We start from the raw sequence: 24,617 nt of genomic DNA on the forward strand, positions 1-24,617 counted from the left end.
ACTAATAATTCTAAATGACAAATGTTTCTTCTAACAGTCTCACAATATCACCCCTTACCACAAAATCTTCCTTCAGCTTAATCTCTCCCACTCTAGGTTCCCACACCACCCCTAATCCCGCTCGAAGCAGCCCTGAGAAACATCGCCCATTATCTCTCCATACCACCCCCAAAAATTTTCACCGTCCCAACACTTTACCACTATTTCATTTTATTTTTCTTATTAATATAAGAAGACAGGAATGTCAGGCCTCTGAGCCCAAGCTAAGCCATCATATCCCCTGTGACCTGCACGTACACATCCAGATGGCTGGTTCATGATATTCCACCACAAAAGAAGTGAAAATGGCCAGTCCTTGCCTTAAGTGATGACATTACCTTGTGAAAGTCCCTTTCCTGGCTCATCCTGGCTCAAAAAGCTCCCCCACTGAGCACCTTGCGACCCCCACTCCTGCCTGCCAGAGAACAAACCCCCTTTGACTGTAATTTTCCTTTATCTACCCAAATCCTATAAAACGGCCCCACCCTTATCTCCCTTCACTGACTCTCTTTTCGGACTCAGCCCACCTGCACCCAGGTGAAATAAACAGCCATGTTGCTCACACAAAGCTTGGTTGGTGGTCTCTTCACAGAGACATGCATGAAAGTCAGGGCTTCTTTTCTTTTCTTTTGTTTTTTTGAGACAGATAGGGTCTTGCTCTGTTACCCATGCTGGAGTGCAGCAGCACAATGATAGTGTAAACCAAAAATAAAATTCTAAACCCACAACTGACAGGTGAGCCCTCTTCTTGGCCAAGGGCATTCCAAAGTTAACCTGAAAAACTAGTTCAGGCCATGATGAGAAGTGGGGGTCCAACATGCTTCAGTATATCCTCCTCCCTTTTGGAATTCAGGCACAGCTGGCCAGATTAACATCAATGCAGAGACCTTAAGACTGGCAGAACAGGCTAGTTAAATCTGATGAGAAACATTCACAATCTATTCTCTCTGAAGCCTGCTACCTGGAGGCTTCATCTGCATGATAAAACTCTGGTCTTCACAACCCCTTATCTTAACCCAGACATTCCTTTCCATTGATTCCAGGTCTTTAGGTAAACTCTTTCAACCAATTGCTAATTCGAATATTTTTGGAGCCTCAGGACCAACAGAATAGGATTAAAAAAAAAAAAGAAAATTTTTGAATCCACCTATGACCTAGAAGTCCTTTTACCACCCCACCTCCAGTTGTCCCATCTTTCTGGACCAAACCAGAAAGTTTACATCTTACATGTATTGATTGGTGTCTTACGTCTTCCTAAGATGTATAAAACCAAGCTGTAGCCCAACCACCTTGGGCACATGTTTTCAGGATCTCCTGGGGGTGTCTCATGGGCACGGGCCATTAGTCACTCATATTTGGCTCAGAATAAATCTCTTCAAATATTTTACAGAGTTCAACTCTTTTCATTGACAAGAGTTCACTGCAACCTTGAACTCACTGCCTGAGCCTTCCAAGTAGCTGGGACTACAGGTGTGCACCACCTTGCTGAGCTAATTTTTAAATTTTTTGTAGAGAAGGGGTCTTGCTATATTGCCCAGGCTAGTCTCCAACTCTTGACCTCAAACAATCCTTCCATCTTGGCCCCCTGAAGTCCTGGTACTACAGGCATGAACCACTGTTCGCAGCCCACAGCTTCTTTTCTGTCTTACTGCTTGAGCTGGGACATCTTTTTTTTTTTTTTTTTTTTGAGACAGAGTTTCGCTTTTGTTGCCCAGGCTGGAGTGCAATGGCGCCATCTCGGCTCAACACAACCCTCGCCTCCTAGGTTCAAGCAATTCTCCTGCCTCAGCCTCCCAACTAGCTGGGATTACAGGCATGCACCACCACGCCTGGCTAATTTTGTATTTTTAGGAGAGATGGGATTTCTCCATGTTGGTCAGGCTGGTCTCGAACTCCCGACCTCAGGTGATCCGCCTGCCTCAGCCTCCCAAAGTGCTGGGATTACAGGCGTGTGCCACCATGCCCGGTGAGCTGGGACATCTTATTTTATGCTACACTTAAATTGGGATTTATACCTTCATCTCCTCTGGTTCTACTGCCTTTGACTTGAATTACACCACTGATTTTCTGTGTCTCCAGCTTACAGATGGCAGATCATGGGTTTCTAAGCCTTTATGATTCCATTATAACAACCTGACAGGTTCTTCCTGCCTGCTGCACAAATGAAGACTACACCATTGCAGTGGAGAAAGAGTTTAATTAATGCCAGGCTGGTCATGTCGTGCAAGAGATGGAGTTATTACTCAAATCAATATCATCTAAAACTCATAGGTTAGGGATTTTTCAAAGGCAGTTTGGGGGAAGAGGGAGGGGTGGCTAGGAAATGGGTGCTTGCTGCTGATTGGTTGGGGGTGTAATTATAGGGGTGTGGGAAATCATCCTCCTGCATGCCAAATTGCTTCTGGGTAGGGCTACAGGAGCCATCAGCAGATGGGTCCAGGTGGAACTAGGTGTCAGACATGCAAAAAACCTGAAAAGATATCTCACAATGCCAATCTTGGGTTCTACAATAGTGATGTTATTTATAGGAGTAACTGGGAAAGTTGTATATCTTGTGACTCCTGAAATAATGGCTAGCAATCATTTATGTCTACACCTTAGCAGAATTCAGGCTCCTCTCTTCCCCCTAACCTGGTGGTCTCTCATTAGATTTACAAAGGTGGCTGAGTTTTGGGGAAAGGCTATTATCATTTACATTATAACCTAAATGTCTCCCAAAGCAAGGCTAAAGGTAAGAGGGGGATTGGCTAGAGTAAATCAGGTCTTCCCACTGTCATCATTTTCTCACTGACATAATTTTTGCAAAGGTGGTTTCACCATGAGGAATTTCTCATAATAAATCAATTTCTCTCTCTCCTTTTGGTTCTGTTTTTTAGAGAATCTCAACTAATAAATTACATAAAAGAAATCATACAAAATGTGACCTTTTGGCTGGTCATGGTAGCTTACACCTATAATAACAGCACTTTCAGAGGCTGAGGCAGGAGGCTCACTTGAGCTCAAGAGTTTGAGACCAGCCTGGGCAATACAGTGAGACCTCAACACTATTTAATTAATTAATTAATTATTTTTGAGACAAGGTCTCACTCTGTCACCCAGGCTTGAGTGCAGTGGTGTGATCACGGCTCACTGCAGTCTTGACCTCCCAGGCTCAAATGATCTTTCCACCTCTGTCTCCCAAGTAACTGGGACTACAGGTGCATGCTACTGCACCTGGCTACTTTTTGTATTTCTTATAGAGACAGGGTTTTACCATGTTGCCCATGCTGGTCTTGAACTCCTCAGCTCAAGCAATCCACCCACCTTGGCCTCCTAAAGTGGTGGGATTACAGGCATGAGCCACTGTGCCCAGCCTATTTTAATTTTTTCTTTGAAGACAAAAAATACAGGCTGGGCATGGTAGCTCACGCCTGTAATCCCAGCACTTTGGGAGGCTGAGGTGGGTGGATCACCTGAAATCAAGAGTTCGAGACCAGCCTGGCCAACATGGTGAAACCCCATCTCTACTAAAAATACAAAAATTAGCTGGACATGGTGGTAGGTGCCTGTAATCTCAGTTACTCGGGAGGCTGAGACAGGAGAATCGCTTGAACCCGGGAGGCAGAGGTTGCAGTGAGTCAAGATGGCACCACTGCACTCCAGCTGGGGCAACAGAGTGAAACTCCATCTCAAAAAAAAAAAAAAAAAGACATTTAATAGGGACTTACGAACAGAAGCCACGTCTGTCTTGGGCAGCAGTGAGATGAGATAATGGTTACCTGTGCCATTACCCCCCAAACCCAGGGCTTATTTACCATAGGGAAAGGGCATATGTGATTCAGAAGGGATGTGTAGGACAATTGCTTATAGGCAGATCTCATGGAGAGTACAAGAACATGAAGGTTATTTTGACCTAAGGGCAGGATTTATGGGAAGAATGTAATCTTACACAAGGAACGAGAAACTAAAAATCTTAGAGGCTTTCCTGGAACTGAGGTTAATCAGAAGTCAACATGGTAGACTAACATCCAGAATAGAATCGCTTTGTCCTCTTCCCTTGCCAATACTTGTTATTATCTGTTTGTTTTTGTTTTTGTTTTTGTTTGAGACAGACTCTCACTCTGTCACCCAGGATGGAGTGCACTGGAGCGATCTCGGTTCTCTGCAACCTCCGCCTCCTAGGCTCAAGTGATCCTCCCACCTCAGCCTCTTGAGTAGCTGGGATCACAGGCACGTGCCACCACACTCGGCTAATTTTTGTATTTTTTGTAGAGACAGGGTTTCGCCATGTTGCCCAGGTTGGTCTTGAACTGCGCTCAAGCAATCCGCCTGCCTCGGCCTCCCAAAGTGTTGGGATTACAGGCATGAATCATCATGCCCGATCTGTTTTTCTGATGAAGGTCATCCTGTTGGGTGTGAAGGTGTGAAGTGGTATCTCATTATGGTTTTGATTTACATTTTCTTTCTTTTTTTTTTTTTTTGAGACGGAGTCTTGCTCTGTCGCCAGGCTGGAGTGCAGTGGCACGATCTCGGGTCACTGCAACCTCTGCCTCCTGGATTCAAGCGATTCTCCTGCCTCAGCTTCCTGAGTAGCTGGGACCACAGGCATGCACCACCATGCCCAGCTAATGTTTGTATTTTTAGTGGAGGCAGGGTTTCACTATGTTGGTCAGTATGGTCTCGATCTCTTGACCTTGTGATCTGCCCGCCTTGTCCTCCCAAAGTGCTGGGATTACAGACATGAGCCACCGTGCCCAGCCTACATTTTCTCAGTTACCAATGATGTTGAGCATCGTTTCATGTGTGTATTGGACGTTTATGCTTCTTCTTTTGAGAAATGTCTATCAAGTCTTTTGCCCATTTTAAAACGAGATTTTTCATCTTTTTGTTTGTTATAAATAAAGTTTCGGTGCCACAAAATAAATAGCACTTGAGTATAAAATGTTCTTTTTAATTCTCAGCAAGGCAAGTTACTTTTATAGAAGGGTGCACCCTTACAGATAAAGCAATGGTGAGCACACACTTGGACAAGGGAGGGAAAGGAGTTTTTATCCCTGACGCACATGGCCCCTGCCGCTGTGTCATTCCCCTATTGGCTAGGGTTAGACTGCACAGGCTAAATTAATTCCGATTGGCTAATTTAAAGCGAGTGACCAGTGAGTGGCTTGGCGGGAAAATGGTTTTGCAGGGTGGCTAATGAGTCAGGGTGGAGCAGGTAGCAGGTAATCGGAATGAGTCAGTGTGGAGCAGGTAATCGAAAAAGGTTGCTCTATGAGGAAATTAAGTTTAAAAGTAGAAGGTGGCTGGGCGCGGTGGCTCACACCTGTAATCCCAGCCTTTTGGGAGGCCCAGGCGGGCAGATCACGAGGTCAGGAGATCGAGACCATCCTGGCTAACACGGTGAAACCCTGTCTCTACTAAAAATACAAAAAAGTTAGCTGGACACGGTGGCAGGCGCCTGCAGTCCTAGCTACTTGGGAGGCTCAGGCAGGAGAATCGCTTGATCCCGGGAGGCGGAGGTTGCAGTGAGCCAAGATCCGCCACTGCACTCCAGCCTGGGTGACAGAGCGAGACTCTGTCTCAAAAAAAAAAAAAAAAAAAAGTAGAAGGCAAAGAATTGAACATACTGACATATTGATTCTTTGAAAAGAAATTTAGAACTCATATCTAACAACCCCTTCTTTTGCATTTCCTTACAGCTCTTTCTTTTAGAACTCTTTTTTACCATGTCTTGGTTTAGTTGCTTTGCTTGATTTTCCAAAAGAAGAAACTTCTCTGGGTAAGGTGGAGGATAGCTAAGGGAGGTTTTAGTAAGTGCCATTTTTACGAACTCTGCACCAACCCACAGATGCATGGTGTGACACAGCACCTGACAAGAAAAAGTACACCCATTACGGCTGTGAGGGAAGTAAGAATTGAGGCTATTATTCTTTTCCATTTACTGAGCCACTTTTCTAGCCATCCTGTAAAGGGGTCATTTACCCCTGAGTTGTTGGCTAACTCATTGGATAGAGCAGTCAGATCTTGCAATGCCTTTGTTATGCTTCCGTCAGGGGTGGTGGTGTTTGGGATGAAGGTACAACACTGAGTTTTAATCATGACACAAACTCCTCCTCTTTCTGTTAATATCATGTCTAAGGCTATCCTATTTTCCCAAGCCATCTGGCTAGTAGCCCCTAATTGCTCAGCTATTCCTTTAACAGCATCTCCACTGTAGTTAATAAATCGCTATTGGTTGTAGTAGATGTAGTTTCTCCAATCTACATTTTTATTCATTGCCGCCCACCAAAATATTGACTCAAATCCTGCAGCTATTTGATTTCAGGCTTTAAACTGATTTGGTATTCCCTGTTGGACTCCAGTTGCGTTTAAATAGATGTGAGAGTCGAAAGACCCATAAGGGGCTTCTCTCGCTTTATGATGTCTTATTTTTCCTTCCTCTGGTTGATGAAATGTCAGGGTGAAAGGGATAGCCAATTGGACTAAAGCACTCCAGTTATTTGGCAGAGTGTCCAGTAAAGGTCCACCACAATACCACCACACATCTGCTTGGAGATGAACAAGGGCTAACTGATAAGCTCTTGAAAATTCTTAACTTCACTGCATCCCTTCAGGTCTCCAAGGAATGCTAAGTTTCCTTCCTGTTGTGAGAGACACGAAGTGAACTTAGTGTTGGGAGACGAAAGCTGGATGGCACTCGGGGGCTGACCTGCAAGGTGCTGGACTTTGGGATATAGCAGAGAGAGAGTGTGGCACAACTTATTACTCCAAGCTGTAGAATCCTGGAAAAGAGCCACCATGAAGCCCACGCCCAGTCGACTGGAGGACCTAGTGGAAAGGGGACAATCTGGGCCTCTGGCCTGCCGTGCGCACAAGCATAACAATTGCTTTTCTTTAACATATGGATGGAATATTTGATCCATTCCAACCAGGCATTTGCATCTTGGTATCCTGTCTTAATTGCCGAAGTTTAAGTCTTTAACTTCTACAATAGCTATCTTGGTCTTGTCATTAGATGGAGGAGGAGCAATTGTTCCGTTTGTGAGAGGTTTTGGAAGAAGGCTTAGAGGAAGGTGCAGGTGACGGGGGATCAAAGAAATGCATTTCAAAGAATCCAATAGGGTCTGTCCCTGAAACCTTAGCCCCCATATACCATAAAACCGGCTTAAAGAAGAGTACTGGCTTATAAAAGGGGAAGAACTTTGAGGGTTTGAGATAATAACCTGTATAGGATTGCACTGGTTTAGCTGACATTTGGGGGTGGGGGGTGGGTGCTATCCCTCTAGTAGAATGAAGGTATGGTTTTAGGAAATTACAAAAACCAGTTGGAGCAGTCCATCCTTGCTCTTTAGTGGTCCACAGAATGTTTGACCAATTACGGCATAAAAGCTCTACATCGAGGAGCAAGACTCATGATTGAAAACTGGGGTCTTTATTGAAATCTCCCCAGATTAAATGGTCCCAATTCACTAATGCCCAGTCTGAGCAGAGTCAGGAGGGACAGAGGTACTTTTCTGAAGTAGAGAGCTGTCTTTGACTTGGCAAGTCCCCAAAGGGTATGACAAGGCAAGCATTAAATGCAATAGTTTGAGGTGAAATTGACTTGGTTATGTTAATAACTAGATGGTCAGCAATAGAGCGAGGAAAGAAGAAAGAGTAATAGAATAGATGAAAAGAGTTAAATTTTTATTAGCTTTAGTTTGGTAGGGTTTTCCCTTGGGACTATGGCCCATGACTCTGGAGGGGGCGGCGCTTTCTTGACTTGGGTGTGATGAGTCCATCCCCTTTTCACTGAAGGAACAGCAGTCTGGGTGGTTAGCAGCATAAGGTAGAGTCCTTCCCAGGCTGGCTTGAGTTTTCCTTCTTTTCACCCTTTGATGAGAACATGATTCTCAGGCTGGTGCTGGTTTACCAGAAATTTTAGGGGCGGTACCTGTGCTAAAAGACTTTTAGTTTTGAGGGAAAGGAAAATGGAAGATAAACCAAGTATATAATTTCTAAGAAACTGATCTTTTGTTTTAAATGTGGGGACATCAGCAGTGGACTTTATCGTCCTTGGTGCCTTCTTACTGAGAAATTTCTTTTAGCACCTATTTTTATTAGTTTTTAGACCAAAGAAAGCCAAACACCACTTTATATTTGACAGTGCTTCCTGTATGATTTTTATACTAGATAAGCTAAATTTCACCTTTATATTAGTGTGTTATTTATGTTAAACTCAATGTTAATAAAACCTTATAGACATATTTATTCAATTTTAACGTCTGACCATAAGGTAAGATTTTTATAGGCTCTTTTAAATCTTTTATAATTTTTGTTAAAGAACAGGTTAGTGCTTTAAGAAAAACCTGTTGTGCTTTTATTTTAATGTCCAGTTCACAGAAAAACTGGATGACACTCCCTTAACTTTAGCCAATATATTTACACACAGAATTTCCTTTACAATTAACATTTTAAAACTTGCTTAAACCTGTAAAACAATTTTTTTAACCTTTTAAAGTAGGTAAAAATTCACATTTTTATGCCTCCTTATAATCCTTTTACCAAAAGTATATTTTAGTTTACTTGTACAACTTGCACATAAACTGTTTCTTCGATAGTTTTACATTCAGGAGGCCTAATTACTTCTAAATTATACAACATTTCTTGCATAAATTCCCTTTTATAACTTTTTTCTTTTACGACTTCACAATCTTCGACATGCCTCAACCTTCTGACTTGTTGCAAACATTCCTTTTTTTTAAACAACCAATTAATTTACTTTAGGATAAGAATTTACCATATAACATTCTTTTTATATAAATTCTTCCCCTCCTTTTTTTTTTTTTTTTTTAATTTTCTCCAAAGCAAACTTCCTTCATGTCTGTGGACTAGACTGCCTAAGGCCACAATATTAGAAGTTAGGATAATAAATGTTACACTGTTAACTTTTAGCAAATTTTACTTTTGTTGAAAACCTTGTAAGTTTGGGATTTCAATTATCCTTTGCTATTAATAAGAACTTATTTAGTCTAAATTAACTTAGAATTGGTATAGACGGTTCCTTCCTTGGTTCTGTAAGTGCTTTAAGGCTTGGCTGAGTGCAAACAGCTCCCAGGTTTGAGCAGACCAACTATTAGGCAATTTTCCCAACTCTGCTTCTACAAGAGTTTCCCTATCAATTACTGAATACCCATTGTGGTTTTTTTCCCTCAATCACCTGGGAGGAACCATCTATCATCCTGTCCTGACGGGAGTTCCTCCTAGGTCTGGTAGGGCCTTTGTATGGTAATTAATTAAGATTTAGATACCCGGTTAGGAAACCTGCTGGGTTAAGGGAATTATCAGTGGTTAATGTTAAATCATCTTTTTCTAACAGAATAGCCCCATACTTTAAGATTTTTGAGTTAGTAAGCTACCTTTTTGCTATTTTTTTTTTTTTTGACTTAGGTTAGTTCTGAACTGGTGAGGTGTGCTCACAATGAGATTTCCTCTAAAAGTTATTTTTGTACTTTCTTCTGCTAGCAAAGCAGTTGCCTCTACAGACTGAATGCACTGGGTTAAGGATTTTTATTTTTATTTATTTATTATTAGTTTTTGAGACAGAGTCTTGCTCTGTTGCCCAGGCTGGAGTACAGTGGCGTGATCTCGGCTCACTGCAAACTCCGCCTCCCGGGTTCATGCCATTCTCCTGCCTCAGCCTCCCAAGTAGCTGGGACTACAGGCGCCCGTCACCATGCCCAGCTAATTTTTTGTATATATTTTTTGAGACGGAGTCTCGCTCTGTTGCCAGGCTGTGGTGCAGTGGCACGATCTTGGCTCACTGCAACTTCTGCCTCCCGGGTTCAAGCGATTCTCCTGCCTCAGCCTCCCAAGCAGCTGGGACTACAGGCGCCCGCCACCATGCCCAGATAATTTTAGTAGATATGGGGTTTCACCGTGTTAGCCAGGATCTAATGATCTCTTGACCTGGTGATCCGCCCGCCTCAGCCTCCCAAAGTGCTGGGATTACAGGCTTGAGCCACCAAAGCCCAGCCAAGGATTTTTGATAGGAAGGCTAAAGGTTGTCAGTGGCCTTAGTGCTTTCCCGCTACACCTTTGTTATCACTGAAAACAAGGTTATATTGGAGTGTTATAGGGTCATGGAGAAGACCTTTGATTATCAATTATAGGTTTTAAACTTAGCCTGGCTTTTAAAGGAATAGGGTACACTGTTTTCTCTTTACTACTTTTATCTCTTTTTTTCTCTCTTTCTCTCTCTTTGACTCCCTCTTTGTCTCTTTATCTCTCCCTCTCTCTGCCCCTCTCTTTTTCTCTCTTTCCTCTCTGCTGGTCTTTCCCTGCCTCTGCCAGCCACTTATGCTGCTGTTCTCCCCCCTCCTTCCCCTTCCCCTAGGGGAGGCACCAGTGGGAGTGGAGCTACTTTTTCTTCCCCCGAGAAGAAAGAAAAGGGGGGGGTTGTGTGAGGTTCAACCCCACCCCCCCGCCATAGGCATTTCTCACCTCTTTTTTGAGGTTCAACCCCCCCATGGGGATTTCTCACCTCTTTCTGGGGTTCAATCCCCACTCATGGGGATTTCTAACCTCTTTTTAACCTCCGAGACATCCGACTAAGGAATACTTCACCGCCCCCCACGGCTTTCTTTCCCTAGTCCTGACTAAGGAATGCTTTACCGCCCCTGCACTTTCTCTCTCCTTGGTATGTCCTAACCAAGGAATGCTTTACCGCCCCGCGGCTTTTTCCTTAGTCCCGACCACCAAGGAAATACTTTACTGGCTCCTGCGGCTTCTCCTTCCTTGGTCTGTGTGGGCGACAAGTCACCCAGGTGCCAAGGCAAGAGACCGAAGGCACGAACTGTTTCAGTATAATAAAATAAATAATTAGAATAAGAATAGTTATATTAGAAATAGAATATAGACATGATTATATATGAATATTATTAATCATTAGTTTGTAGCATTACTCTTTTATTAATAACTTCTGTTCTACAATTATAATTTAGGAAAACCAGGCCATACAGAGTTAGGAGCTGAAGGGACACCGTGAGAAGTGACCGGAAGGCAGGAGTGTGAGCCCTCTGTCATGCCTGGACAGGGCCACTAGAGGGCTCCTTGGTCTAGTGGTAACGCCAGTGCCTGAGAAGGCACCCGTTACTTAGCAGACCTTGGTCTAGCGGTAGCACCAAAGCCTGGGAAGGCACCCGTTACTTAGCAGACTGGGAAAGGGAGTCTCCCTTTCTCTGGGGGAGTTAGAGAACACTCTTCTCCACCACTTCTTGTGGAAAGCCTGACATCAGTTAAGCCCGCCTGCAGCCATCTGGAGGCCTAAACGTCTCCCTGTGATGCTGTGCTTCAGCGGTCACTCTCCTGGTCCACTTTCATGTTCCACTCTGTACACCTGACTCGCCTTCTAGATAGCAGTAGCAGAATTAGTGAAAGTATTAAAGTCTTTGATCTTTCTGAGAAATGCATAGAAGAAATGATGACGTAAGCTGTCCCCTCTCTCTCTCCGCCTCAGCTACCAAATAGGGAAGGGCCCCCTGTCCAGTGGACATGTGACTTGCATGACCTTACCTATCTTTGGAGATGACTCACACTCCTAACCCTGCCCCCTTGCCTTGTATACAATAAATAGCAGTGCGGCCAGGCATTCAAGGCCACTACCAGTCTCTGCGTCTTGGTGGTAGTGGCCCCCAGGCCCAGCTGTCTTTCTCTCTCTTTTGTCTTGTGTCTTTATTTCTATGATCTCTTGTCTCTGCACACGAAGAGAAAACCCAAAGGCCCTCCCAGGCTGGACCCTACAGAGTCATCGCTGCAGTATGTGAGGCTCCTTTACGCTAGGTTGCTGGCCATTTTGTTTTTCCATGTTGCTGAGAGCTCGGCTTATTCCTTGCACTGGGTGGGTCTTGATTTCTCACCCCTGAGGCCACCACTAGGGGGCGGGGCATGCCTCCTCAGGAGAGAGAACCAGAGACCATCCCTGGAGGGGAATGTAATCCCGGATGAGCCCCCAAATTCTTGTAAATAAAGTTTTGGTGCCGCAAAAGATACAGCACTCAAATATAAAATTTTCTTTTTAATTCTCAGCAAGGCAAGGTACTTCTATAGAAGGGTGCACCCTTACAGATGGAGCAATGGTGAGTGCACACTTGGACAAGGGAGGGGAAAGGGTTTTTATCCCTGAAGCATGTGGCCCCTGCTGCTGTGTCGTTCCCCTATTGGCTAGGGTTAGACAGCACAGGCTAAACTAATTCCGACTGGCTAATTTAAAGAGAATTACTGGGTGAGTGGTTTGGCAGGAAAAATGGTTATGCAGGGTGGCAAATGAGTCAGGGCGGAGCAGGTAGCAGGTAATCGGAATGAGTCAGGGTAGAGCAGGTAATTGGAATGAGTCAGGGTGGAGCAGGTAATCGAAAAACTTTCCTTTATGAGGAAGTTAAGTTTAAAAGTAGAAGGCAAAGAATTGAACATACGGACATATTGATTCTTCGAAAATAAATTTAGAACTCATATCTAACATGTTGTTGAGTTTAAGAGTCTTTTTGTTTGTTTGTTTGTTTTTGAGACAGGATCTTGCTCTGTCACCCAGGCTGGAGTGGAATGGTGCAATCATAGCTCACTGCAGCCTCCAATTCCTGGGCTCAAGTGATTCTCCCCCCTCAGCCTCCCGAGTAGGTGGGACTATGGGGATGTGTCATCACGCTCAGCTAATTTTTAAATTTTTTCTAGAGATGGGGTCTTGCTATGTGTCCCAGGCTGGTCTTGAAATCTTGGCCTGGCCGGGCATGGTGGCTCACGTCTGTAATCCCAGCACTTTGGGAGGCCAAGGTGGGCAGATCATGAGGTCAGGAGTTCGAGACCAGCCTGGCCAACATGGTGAAACCCCACTACTAAAAATACAAAAATTAGCCAGGCATGGTGGCAGGCACCTGTAATCCCAGCTACTCAGGAGGCTGAGGCGGAAGAATTGCTTGAACCTGGGAGGCGAAGGTTGCAGTGAGTGGAGATCGTGCCATTGCACTCCAACCTGGGCGACAAGAGCAAGACTCTGCCTCAAAAAAAAAAAAGAAAAAGAAAAGAAAAGAAAAAAAGAAATATTGGCCTTAAGCCATCCTCCTGCCTCAGCCTCCCAAAGTGTTGGGATTATAGGCGTGAGCCACAATGCCTGGCCAGTTGTAAGAGTTCTTTATATATTCTGCAACCTTATCAGATATATGATTTGCAAATATTTTCTCCGTTTCTGTAGGTTATCTTTTCTCATTCTTGATAAAACAAAATTGTAAGTTGTTAAAGTCCAATTACCAATTATCAATTGATAATTACCAATTTTTATTTTGTTGCTTGTGTTTTTGGTGACAAATCTAAGAATTCATTGCTAAATCCAAAGTAATGAAGATTTACCCCGAGGTTTTCTTCTTTTTCTGTTTTCTTCTTTCTTCCCCTCTTCCTCCTCCTACTCCTCCTCTTCTTTCTCTGACTCCTTCTTCTTCTCTTTCTTCTTCTTTTTTCAATTAGAGACATAGTCTCACCATGTTGCCCAGGCTGGTCTTGAACTCCTGGGCTCAAGTCATCCTCTCACCTAGGCCCCCCAAAGTCCTGGGATTACATGAGTGGTGTTGTAAACTGCTATAAACATTCATGTGCCAGTTACTCTGTGGATATATAATTTGTTTTAATATATGGAGTCTTACTCTGTCACCCAGGCTGGAGTGCAGTGGAGCATTCTCGGCTCACTGCAACCTCCCTCCCCGGTTCAAGCAATTCTCCTGCCTCAGACTCCCGAGTAGCTGGGATTACAGGCGCACGCCACCCCACCTGGCTATTTTTTGTTTGTTTGTTTGTTTGTTTGTTTTTTGAGACAAGGTCTCACTCTGTAGCCCAGGCTGGAATGCAGTGGTGTGAACTTGATCACTGCAGCCTTGGACTCTTGGGTTCAAGTGATTCTCCTGCCTCAGCCTCTCAAGTAGCTGGAATTACAGGTTCCTGCCACTGTGCCCAAATAATTTTTGTTTTTTTACTAGAGATGGGGTTTCACCATGTTGGTCAGGCTGGTCTCAAACTCCTGACCTCAGGTGATCCACCGACCTCAGCCTCCCAAAGTGCTGGGATTACAGACATGAACCACCAAGCCTGGCCATATATTTTCATTTCTCTTGGGTATATACCTAAGAGTAGAATTGCTGGCTGATATGCTAATCCTATGTTTAAGGTTTTGAGGGATCCACCAAACTTCAATAACGTGAAGGTTATTTTGACCTAAGGGAAGGATTTATGGGAAGAATGTAATCGTACACAAGGAACAATAAACTAAAAATGTTAGAGGCTTTCCTGGAATTGAGGTTTTTCACAGTGGCCACCTATGTTTTCTTCTAAGAGTTTATAGTTTTAGCTCATATTTAGGCTAGTAATCCATTATGAGTACATTTTTTGCATATGGAATGAGGTAGGGATCCAGCTTCATTCTTCTGCATGTGGTTTCCAGTTGTGCCAGGACCATTTGTTGAAGAGACTGTTCTTTCCCCGTTGGTCTTGACTCTTTTGTTGGAATTCATTGGTCATAGATGTTTGGGTTTGTTTCTGGACGCTAAATTCGATTCTATTAATCTCTATGTCTATCCTTATATCAGTTACACACTGTTTTGTTTGTCTCTAATTGGATAGGTATTTATTTATTTATTTATTTATTTATTTTGTGAGATGGAGTTTCACTCTTGTTGCCCAGGCTGGAGTGCAGTGGTGCGATCTCGGCTCACCACAACTTCCGCCTCCTGGGTTCAAGCGATTCTCCTGCCTCAGCCTCCTGTGTAGCATGTCCATGTCCTGCCACGCCCGGCTAATTTTTGTATGTTTAGTAGAGACAGGATTTCACCATGTTGGCCAGGCTTGTCTTGAACTTCTGACCTCAGATGATCTGTCCGCCTCAGCCTCCCAGAGTGCTGGGATTACAGGCGTGAGCCACTGCACCCGCTGGATAGGTTATTAGTGATGGCAGCAAAGGAGCACCCTTGAAGGAGTTAAAACTTGGCACCTATAAAAAAAGCACCCTTCACTTGGCAGCACTTGGGAATGAGCTCACCTATTGTTTCAAGGAGACTTAAGGAGGTGGCCATGGAGAGGGGTTGATGGGCAGAGCTCAGAGATCAGCAATACCGGCAACAATTCTCAGGCTTTAAAACTATGTCTAGGCGGGTGCGGTGGCTCACTCCTGTAATCCCAGCACTTTGGGAGGCCGAGGCGGGCGGATCACGAGGTCAGGAGATCAAGACCATCCTGGCTAACACAGTGAAACCCCGTCTCTACTAAAAATACAAAAAATTAGCTGAGCGAGGTGGCGGTCGCCTGTAGTCCAAGCTACTCGGGAGGCTGAGGCAAGAGAATGGCGTGAATCCCAGGGGGCGGAGCCTGCAGTGAGCCGAGATCGTGCCAATGCACTCCAGCCTGGGCGACAGCGAGACTCTGTCTCAAAAAAAAAAAAAACTATGTCTAGAGGAGAGTTTGGGCTGTAACTTCTTCGATACAGAAGCATATTTATTAGAAGCAAAGAGGCTAGAAGCCTACTGAGTTTTTTTGTTTGTTTGTTTTTTAGAGATGAATCTCACCATGTTGCTCAGGCTAGCCTCTAACTCCTGGCTTTAGGTGATCCTCTGGCCTCAGCCTCCCAAGTATCTGGGTCTACAGGTGCATGCCACTGTGCCCGACTTCAAAACCTACTAAATTTCTGAGCGAACATATTGCAACACAACACTGTGAGCCTGGCTGGTAAAAGTCTGTGAACTTTCAACCTTTAAGGTCATTCCTGTGTCCCCGGAATCCACATCAGCAAGAAGTGGGCTGTGATTGATGGTCTATCAGTTAGGATCCAATATGACTTCAATTATTTTAAGAAAGAATTTAATATACATTTTATTTTATTATTATTATTTTTGAGACAGAGTCTTGCCCTGTCGCCCAGGCTGGAGTGCAGTGGCGCAATCTCTGCTCACTGCAACCTCTGTCTCCTGGGTGCAAGTGAGTCTCATGTCTCAGCCTCCCAAGTAGCTGGGATTACAGGTGTGGGCCACTATCCTTGGCTAATTTTTGTATTTTTAGTAAAGATGGGGTTTCACCATGTTGGCCAGGCTGGTCTCAAACTCCTGACCTCAGGTGATCCGCCTGCCTCGGCTTCCGAAAGTGCTGGGATTACAGGCGTGAGCCACTGTGCCTGGCTAACATAAATATATATATATATGTGTGTGTATTTTTTTTTTGAGACGGAGTCTCACTCTGTCGCCCAGGTTGGAGTGCAATGGCACAGTGGAGCGATCTCGGCTCACTGCAACCTCCGCCTCCTGGGTTCAAGTGATTCCCCTGCCTGAGCCTCCCGAGTAGCTGGGATTACAGGTGCCTGCCACCATGCCCGGCTAATTTTTTGTATTTTTAGTAGACACAGGGTTTCATCATATTAGCCAGGATGGTCTCGATCTCCTGGCCTCGTGATCTACCCGCCTCAGCCTCTCAAAGTGCTGGGATTACAGGCATGAGCCACCGCGCCCGGCCCTATAAATATTTTTAAAGCACGTATTAGAGAACCAAAGGCAAAAAGGGAAATTAAAGTATCATAAAGAGAATCATAAAAAAGAAGTAGCTGCCACCCTTATATCTGGGAATCATAGGGAAAAGGGTGAAATTATTCCAATTTAGAAGTTAGAACTAAAATTGCCAGGTAAAATAGAGGACACTCCTTTAAGTCAGAATTTCAGAAAAACTATGAATACTTTATTTTTATTTTTTATTTTTTTATTTTTTGAAATGGAGTTTTGCTCTTGTTGCTCAGGCTGGAATGCAATGGCACAATCTTGGTTTACTGCAACCTCCGCCTCCTGGGTTTAAGCGATTCTCCTGCCTCCCGAGTAGCCGTGATCACAGGCATGCGCCACCATGCCTGGCTAATTTTGTATTTTTAGTAGAGATGAGTTTCACCATGTTGGTCAGTCTAGTCTTAAACTCCTAACCTAAGGTGATCCACCTGCCTCAGCCTCCCAAAGTACTGGGATTACAGGCGTGAGCCACCGTGCCCAGCCAACTATGAATAATTTTAGTCTATACACCATGTGAGATTTGGAACATATTTATACTTTAAAATTATTTATTGTTTATCTACAATTCAAATTTAACTGATGCTCTGTGTTCTTCTTTGCTAAGTCTGGCAACCCTAGCTGGAACCCTGACATCTGAGGCGAGGAGGCTGCTTGGCAGTGACAGGTGTCTTTGAGGGGACCACAGTGAAGCTGATGATTCTGTGAATGGTAGAAAAGTACAAACAAATCAACTGCTTATACTGGAATAAACTGCAGCTACCAGGTGAAAAATCATTGCTGAGGGGATGCTGACGGGTATAAGAAGTTGACAGGAGCTTCTAGCTTTGCAGTTTCCCTCTGGTGTACTCCACTTGCAGCTGGAAAAAAAGAATGGAGGTTTTCAGTTTCAGCTCTGGCATTAGAAAGCAGAGCATAGACAGTGGGTTTAAAGCCAAGAGTCAACAGATTAGTAATCAGCACAGCTGGGCAGCTGCCAAGAACATTGTCTCCAATGCCCCCTCCCCCCAGAGGTAGACATAGAGAACAATGGACTAGGGAGATCCTTCCAGAGAATCCATCCAGGGGCTGGCTAATTGGTTGATCAAGAACTAACAACTGGCAGGGCATGGTGGTTCATGCCTGTAATCACAACAATTTGGAGGCCAAAGTGGGAGGATTGCTTTAGCCCAGGAGCTTGAGACCAGCCTAGGCAATATAGCAAGACCTCATCTCTACAAAAAATTTAAAAATTAGCTGAGCCCGGTGATGCACACCTGTAGTCCCACCTACTTGGGAGGCTGAGGAGGGAGGATCCCTTTAGCCAGGCAGGTGGAGGCTGTGGTGAGCCTTGATGCTCACTGCACTCCAGCCTTGGTGACAGAGCAAGACCCTGTCTCAAACAAACAAACAAAAATAATATCTGCTTTTTGAATGATAGGTTTTTTTTTTTTTGAGACTGAGTCTCGCTCTGTCGCCCAGGCTGGAGTGCAGTGGCACTATCTCGGCTCACTGCAAGCTCTGCCTCCCGGGTTCACGCCATTCTCCTGTCTCAGCCTCCTGAGTAGCTGGGACTACAGGCACCCGCCACCATGCCCGGCTAATTTTTTGTGTTTTTAGTAGAGACGGGGTTTCACCATGTTAGCCAAGATGGTCTCAATCTCTTGACCTTGTGATCCACCTGCCTCGGCCTCCCAAAGTGCTGGGATTACAGTCATGAGCCACCGTGCCCAGCCTTTGAATGATAGGTTTTTAAAAAGTTGTAGTCATCCTTTCTTCTCTCTCATTGTATATTGGGAGTGTTGAATGATAGATAATGTCTTTATACATGTGAATTTGATGGAGAAGACCACATGTCATAACGAGACTTTAAGTATGATGCAGTAACTTTGGATGGGACTTTAGATTACCTCTCAGGGAGAAGATCAATGTGTTTTATATTTTGCAAGAAGAATGAGTGTGGATGTTGAGTAGTCAAAAAGTGGACTGTGGCAGAGACTGAGTAATTACCATCCTATACAAATTCTTCCAGAGAAGAGAAAAAGTGAGAACTCTCCAGTGCATTGCATGAAGTTGGCATAACTGACGTAGGAGGCAGGACTGGACTCCAGAGCTGGGGCTCAGACTCTGGACCAAATTGAGGACTAGCTAAAACAGGTCTGGGGTGGAAACAGCTTTCCATAAAACATGCCTACCAGTATGCCATGTCAGTTTACCGTTGCCATGGCAACACCCAGACTTTACCACCCCTTTCCATGGCAATGACTCTGATAACCAGGAAGTTGCCACCTTTTTCCTAGAAATTTCTGCACAAACTGCCCCTTATTATATTATATGCAAAGATCATATTTACATATAATTAAAAGTAAAAATATGAGTGCAGACCTGCCTCTGAGCTGCTATTCTGGGCACACTGCCTACGGGGTAGCCCTGCTCTGCAAGGAGTGGTACCTCTGCTGCCGCTGTGCACTGCTGCTTCAATAAAAGTTGCTCCAAGACTTTTTAAAAGCACCTTTTGGTTTCATGGTTATGATACAGGACAGGGCTCACCTGTGCTGCATCATAACCATGAAACCAAACCTGGTAAGAATATGACAAGAATAAAAATGAAGGGTCAATCTCAATCATGGATATCAATACAAAAATCCTAAACAAAATATTATCAAATTGCATCTTCTATGAGAAAACACCAAATGGCGGATGACCCTGGTGCAGCGGGTGGGCCCAGAAGCCACAGGGTCCCTGGAATGGGAAACAGCAGCAACTTTCGGGAGAGGCTTCGCTAGTGACATTGAGGCCAGGGTGGCCAGGGTGGGGCCCAGCTGTGGAGTATGCTGAAGCAAGGCCAAGGCCAAGGAGTGGATGCCATTACTTATAGAAAGGGAAACATTTTGGTTATGGAACATCTCCATCTTATATCCAGTTAATTACACAGTTTATTATATGACTATCCTCCATTTTCTTGCTAGCCAAGTTCCTCATAAATCTGTAAATTCCAGGATTATGTATAGTAAGCAACCTAGGCAGGCCAGGTATATCCGGTTAAGAATGTTTCATAAATAAGGATTTTCTGTTATTTTTCGGCCAGTAAATTCTATTCATGTGTTTACCAATGGTATGAGTTAGTAGCATGTTTCTAAGATTTGACCAGGATCATTTCTTTTTCCCCAGACCCCAGGAAAGAGAGGGAATGGGTTGCAGCCCTGCTGTTAAGTCTTTCTGTCCCATAATGGAACTTTCTTTATCTCATAAAGGATATTTACAATAAATGTACTTTGTATATGAAAAGTTTTCTGTAACAAAAAGTACTATCAAACAACAACCAAATTGAGGCAATCACACCAGAGGACCATTCCTGTGCCTGCCATCCTGTCCAAATGTCCATCTATAACATTTTCTATAAAGTCAGGGCTTCAATTGGGAGTAAAATACAGATTGAGAGGGTGTTTGGAATTGACTCAAGAGGCAGTGGCCACTGTACCTAATCCAGGGGAAAATGCATACACCTAAGAATAAATGTGAGTGCCCTACATTGGCAGGGACAACCCAGAGTTGCCCTTGGGTTAAATGGAATTTTTTCTTTGAGACAGGCCTCACTCTGTCACCCAGGCTGGAGTTCAGTGGCACAATCAGAGCTCACTGCAGTCTCAACCCCCCATGCTCAAGCAATCCTCCCACCTCAGCCTCCTAAGTAGCTGGGACAACAGGCATGTGCCACCATGCCTGGCTAATTTTTTATTTTTTGTAGAGACAGGGTCTCACTATGTTGCCCAGGCTAGTGTTGAATTCCTGGGTTCAAGTGATCCTCCCACCTCAGCCTCCCGAGTAGCTGGGACTACAGACACATGCCACCATGCCCAGCCTAAACTAATATTAATAAGAAACCCTGTCTGGGTGTGGTGGCACGTGCCTTATAGTCCCGGCTACTCAAGAGGCTGAGACAGGAGGATCACTTGAGCCCAGGAGTTCTGGGCTGTAATGCACTATGCTGATTGGGTGTCTGCATTAAGTTCAGTATCAATATGGTGATCTTCTGGGAGCAGGGGGCCACCAGGTTGCCTAAGGAGCGGTGAATTGGCCCAGGTTGGAAACAGAGCAGGTCAAAACTCCTGTGCTGATCGGTAGTGGGATCATGCCTGTGAATAGCTACTGTGCTCCCACCTGGGCAACATAGTGAGACCTCTATCTCTAAAAGCAAACAAACAAACAAACACTGACTTCCATTGAGGTGCAACATATTTTGTGGTGACCACTTCATGATTCCTCCCAGGAGAGGAGAGATGGTGGCCCAGAACCTGGAGATGCAGAGGGGATGGTTTTGCCTTTGGTATCGGTTATAGGCAAGGACATTATAGCACCTTGTTGGATGAAGGCAGGTGGAGCCCACATCTGTTGCAACACAAGTTATCCACACTCTACCATATTGCTCCTGACAAACCAGATGCCTCCTGACCACGTGGGCAGCTTCTATTCTTGCATCTTTTTGGGAAGTGCCCAGCTGCTCCTGACTCTATTATTCAAGTATCACACACATCCACTCTCAGTGGAAACTTAGGGAACCCCTGAGAAGAGGTGAATTGTGTGTAGTTCCTCAAGTGGCTCTCTATTGTTCTGAGTACTTCTCACTAGGAGTAAATTGTGAAGATTTCATGGACATTTATCACTTCCCTAATAGTACTCTTATAATTTCTTATGCCTGTCTTTACTTTAATCTCTTAATCCCGTTATCTTCATAAGCTGAGAATGTACGTCACCTCAGGACCACTATTGTACAATTTGATTGTAAAACGTGTGTTTGAACAATATGAAATCAGTGCACCATGAAAAAGAACAGAATAACAGCAGTTTTCAGGGAACAAGGGAAGATAACCATAAGGTCTGACTGCCTGTGGGGTTGGGCAGAATAGAGCCATATTTTTCTTCTTGCAGAGAGCCTATAAATGGACATGCAAATAGGAGAGGTATCGCTGAATTCTTTTCCCAGCAAGGAATACCCTGGGGAAGGAATGCATTCCTGGGGGGAGGTCTATAAATGGCCGCTCTGGGAGTGTCTGTCTTATGTGGTTGAGGTAAGGACTGAAATACGCCCTAATCTCCTGAGTACCCTGAGGCTTACTAGGACTAGGAAATTCCAGCATGGTAAATTTTGCTCAGACTCGTTCTCTGCTCTCGAACCCTGTTTTCTGTTAAGATGTTTATCAAGACAATACATGCTACAGTGGGACATAGACCCTCATTAGTAATTCTAATTTTGTCTTTGCCTTGTGATCTTTATTGCCCTTTGAAGCATGGGATCTTTGTGACCTACTCCGTGTTCATACGCCCCCCTCCCTTTTTAAATCCCTAATAAAAACTTGCTGGTTTTGTGGCTCAGGGAACATCACAGACCTACTGATAGGTGATGTTACCCCTGGAGGCCCAGCTGTAAAATTCCTCTCTTTGTACTCTTTCTCTTTATTTCTCAGATGAGCCGACACTTAGGGAAAATAGAAAGAACCTACGTTGAAATATTGGGGGCGGGTTCCCGCAATACTCATTTCTCTCTGTATTAGTCTGTTCTCACGCTGCTAATAAAGACATACCCAAGACTGGGTAATTTTAAAGAAGAGGTTTAGTGAACTTACAGTTCCACATGACTGGGGAGGCCTCATAATCGTGGTGGAAGGTGAAGGAGGAGCAAAGGCATGTCTTACATGCTGGGAGGCAAGAGGGTCTGTGCAGGGGAACTGCCCTTTATAAAACCATCAGATCTCCTGAGACTTATTCACTATCATGAGAACAGCACCCTGCTCCCATGATTCAATTACCTCCCACTGGGTTCCTCTCACAACACATGGGGGTTATGGGAGCTACAATTCAACATGAAATTTGGGTGAGGACACACAGCCAAATCATATCACTCTCCTGCTATGTTTTCATACAAAGCATTGCCATGAATGGGCCCATGCTCCCCATCCTACTCAAGCACAGCTCTTGGCTCTGTGCATATATTAGTGGGAGGACAGTTGTGGTTTGGTGAGAAATAAGTCAATAGCATCCTATCCTGGGTCAAGTACTTGTACCATTAGGAACTTGGAGCCTGCTGGCATCATAACACTGTTGCTTTACCTAGTTAGAGCAAGTGCTTCTACAGGGCACTGTCAGGCCAGAACATGTCCTGGTGTTAGGGGTAGGGAGCTTGGTTTTTGCTTTTTAATTTTTATTTATTTATTTTTTTTTGAGACAGGATCTCACTCTGTCACCAAGGCTGGAGTGCAGTGGCATGATCCCAGCTTACTGCAACCTCTGTCTCCCAGGTTCAAGCAATTCTCCTGCCTCAGCCTCCTGAGTAGCTGGGATTACAGACATGCACCACCACACCTGGCTTTTTTTTTTTTTTTTTTTTTTGTATTTTTAGTAGAGATGGGGTTTCACCCTGTTGGCCAGGGTGGCCTCGAACTCCCGACCTCAAGTGAACTGCCTGCCTCAGCCTCTCAAAGTACTAGGATTACAGGTGTGAGCCATTGCACCCAGCCTGATTTTTGCTTTCTTATAGTGCAAAAGTCACCCTGTGGGTATTCACAATTTGTCCCTAACCACTAGAGGTTTTCATGAACGTATCCTTTGTAGCATTCCAGAAGGTCAACTTCTTGACAGAAGCTGTCTCCCAACATCAGTCAGTACTCAAAAATGTGTCAGTTACCAGAGAAGGGGTTATACCCTGATACTTCAATCAATTACTCTGGCATTGTAGAAACTAATAAACAGCTCCAAATATTCTATGATATCTTAAATCAAAACAATTAAGGAAGAGGCAAGGGAAACAAATAGTGCCTGCTGCGATGCTTTCTCATTTCCCTTTGGGAAGATAGGGTTGCTTGTTTTCCAGGAAGTCATCCCTTAGGAATTTTTTTTTTTTTTTTGACAGAGTCTTGCTTTGTCACCCAGGCTGGAGTGCAGTGGTGCCATCTCAGCTCACTGTAACCTCCACCTCCCAGGCTCAAGTTGATTCTCATGCTTCAGCCTCCCAAGTAGCTGGGATTACAGTCGTATGCTACCACACCCAGCTAATTTTTGTATTTTTATTTTTATTTACTTATTATTTTGAGATGGAGTCTTGCTCTGTTGCCCAGGGTGGAGTGCAGTGGCAGCATCTCTGCTCACTGTAACCTCTGCCTCCTGGGTTCAAGCGATTCTCGTGCCTCAGCCTCCCGAATAGCTGGGACTACAAGTGCGTGCTACCATGCCTGGCTAATTTTTTTGTATTTTTATTAGAGAGGCGTTTCATGTTGGCCAGGCTGGTCTCAAACTCCTGACCTCAGGTGATCCACCTTCCTTGGTCTCCCAAAGTGCTGGGATTGCAAGCGTGAGCCACTGCGCCTAGCCTAATTTTTGTATTTTTAGTGGGGGGTGGTTTTGCGATGTTGGTCAGGCTAGTCTCGAACTACTGACCTCAGGTGATCCACCTGCCTCGTTCTCCTAGTGCTGGGATTATAGGCGTAAGCCACTGCACCCAGCCAGCAATTTTTAATTCTCTATTTTTTGCTCTGGAGGTCCTAAGTTTTAGATTCAGTGACACATTGCTGTGCCATTCATGCTGCTGGGTACTGTCGATTAGCAGTCAGCATCCATTCCCATCTCCTTCTAGTGTCCCTTCCTATGCTGCAGAATCTGGAGAGTTAAAATGTCATGGCCAGGATTTGGAAATGAAGTGGAGGCCACCCGCCTGCTGCTTGCTGCTGAAGTGTGGCAGCAAAGGTATGAGGTGTGTCTGCAGCAGGGTTGCAGGGTCCAGTCACTAGCCATGTAGGGGTCGAGAGCCTGTTTCAGGGGCAGCAATAGTGATGGTGACTTCCAATCCCTTAATCACAGCCACAACAGTGTGTTGTTGAGCTTAACAGGTACAGTGGTGATGTCCTGATTTCTTACCTTCCTGATTGCAGCAAAAATGGGTAGCTACCCTGTTGGGACAGTTTGGAGTCATCCCTGCAGAGTCATTCTCTAGCCTCCCTGATAATTTGTATTACTTAATTCCTTATATGAATTCTTTTCTGTTTAAACTAGCCAGGTTGCTTTTTGCTTAAACTA

The 24,617-nt window shown here is 44.5% G+C and overlaps 1 pseudogene, besides 1 other annotated feature; it reads left to right on the forward strand.

The window, feature by feature from the left end:
• Positions 717-1,500: an enhancer, noted in NCBI's record as "OCT4-NANOG-H3K27ac hESC enhancer chr1:32903713-32904496 (GRCh37/hg19 assembly coordinates)". NCBI's record gives its function as "activates a minimal SCP1, AML or CMV promoter by ChIP-STARR-seq in naive and primed H9 embryonic stem cells {active_cell/tissue: H9 hESC(naive and primed)}" and the evidence as "EXISTENCE:reporter gene assay evidence [ECO:0000049][PMID:30033119]".
• On the forward strand, positions 20,440-20,740 carry RN7SL122P (RNA, 7SL, cytoplasmic 122, pseudogene; annotated as a pseudogene).

Source organism: Homo sapiens, chromosome 1 (assembly GCF_000001405.40).
Source record: "Homo sapiens chromosome 1, GRCh38.p14 Primary Assembly".
In the NCBI taxonomy this organism is placed as follows: domain Eukaryota; kingdom Metazoa; phylum Chordata; class Mammalia; order Primates; family Hominidae; genus Homo; species Homo sapiens.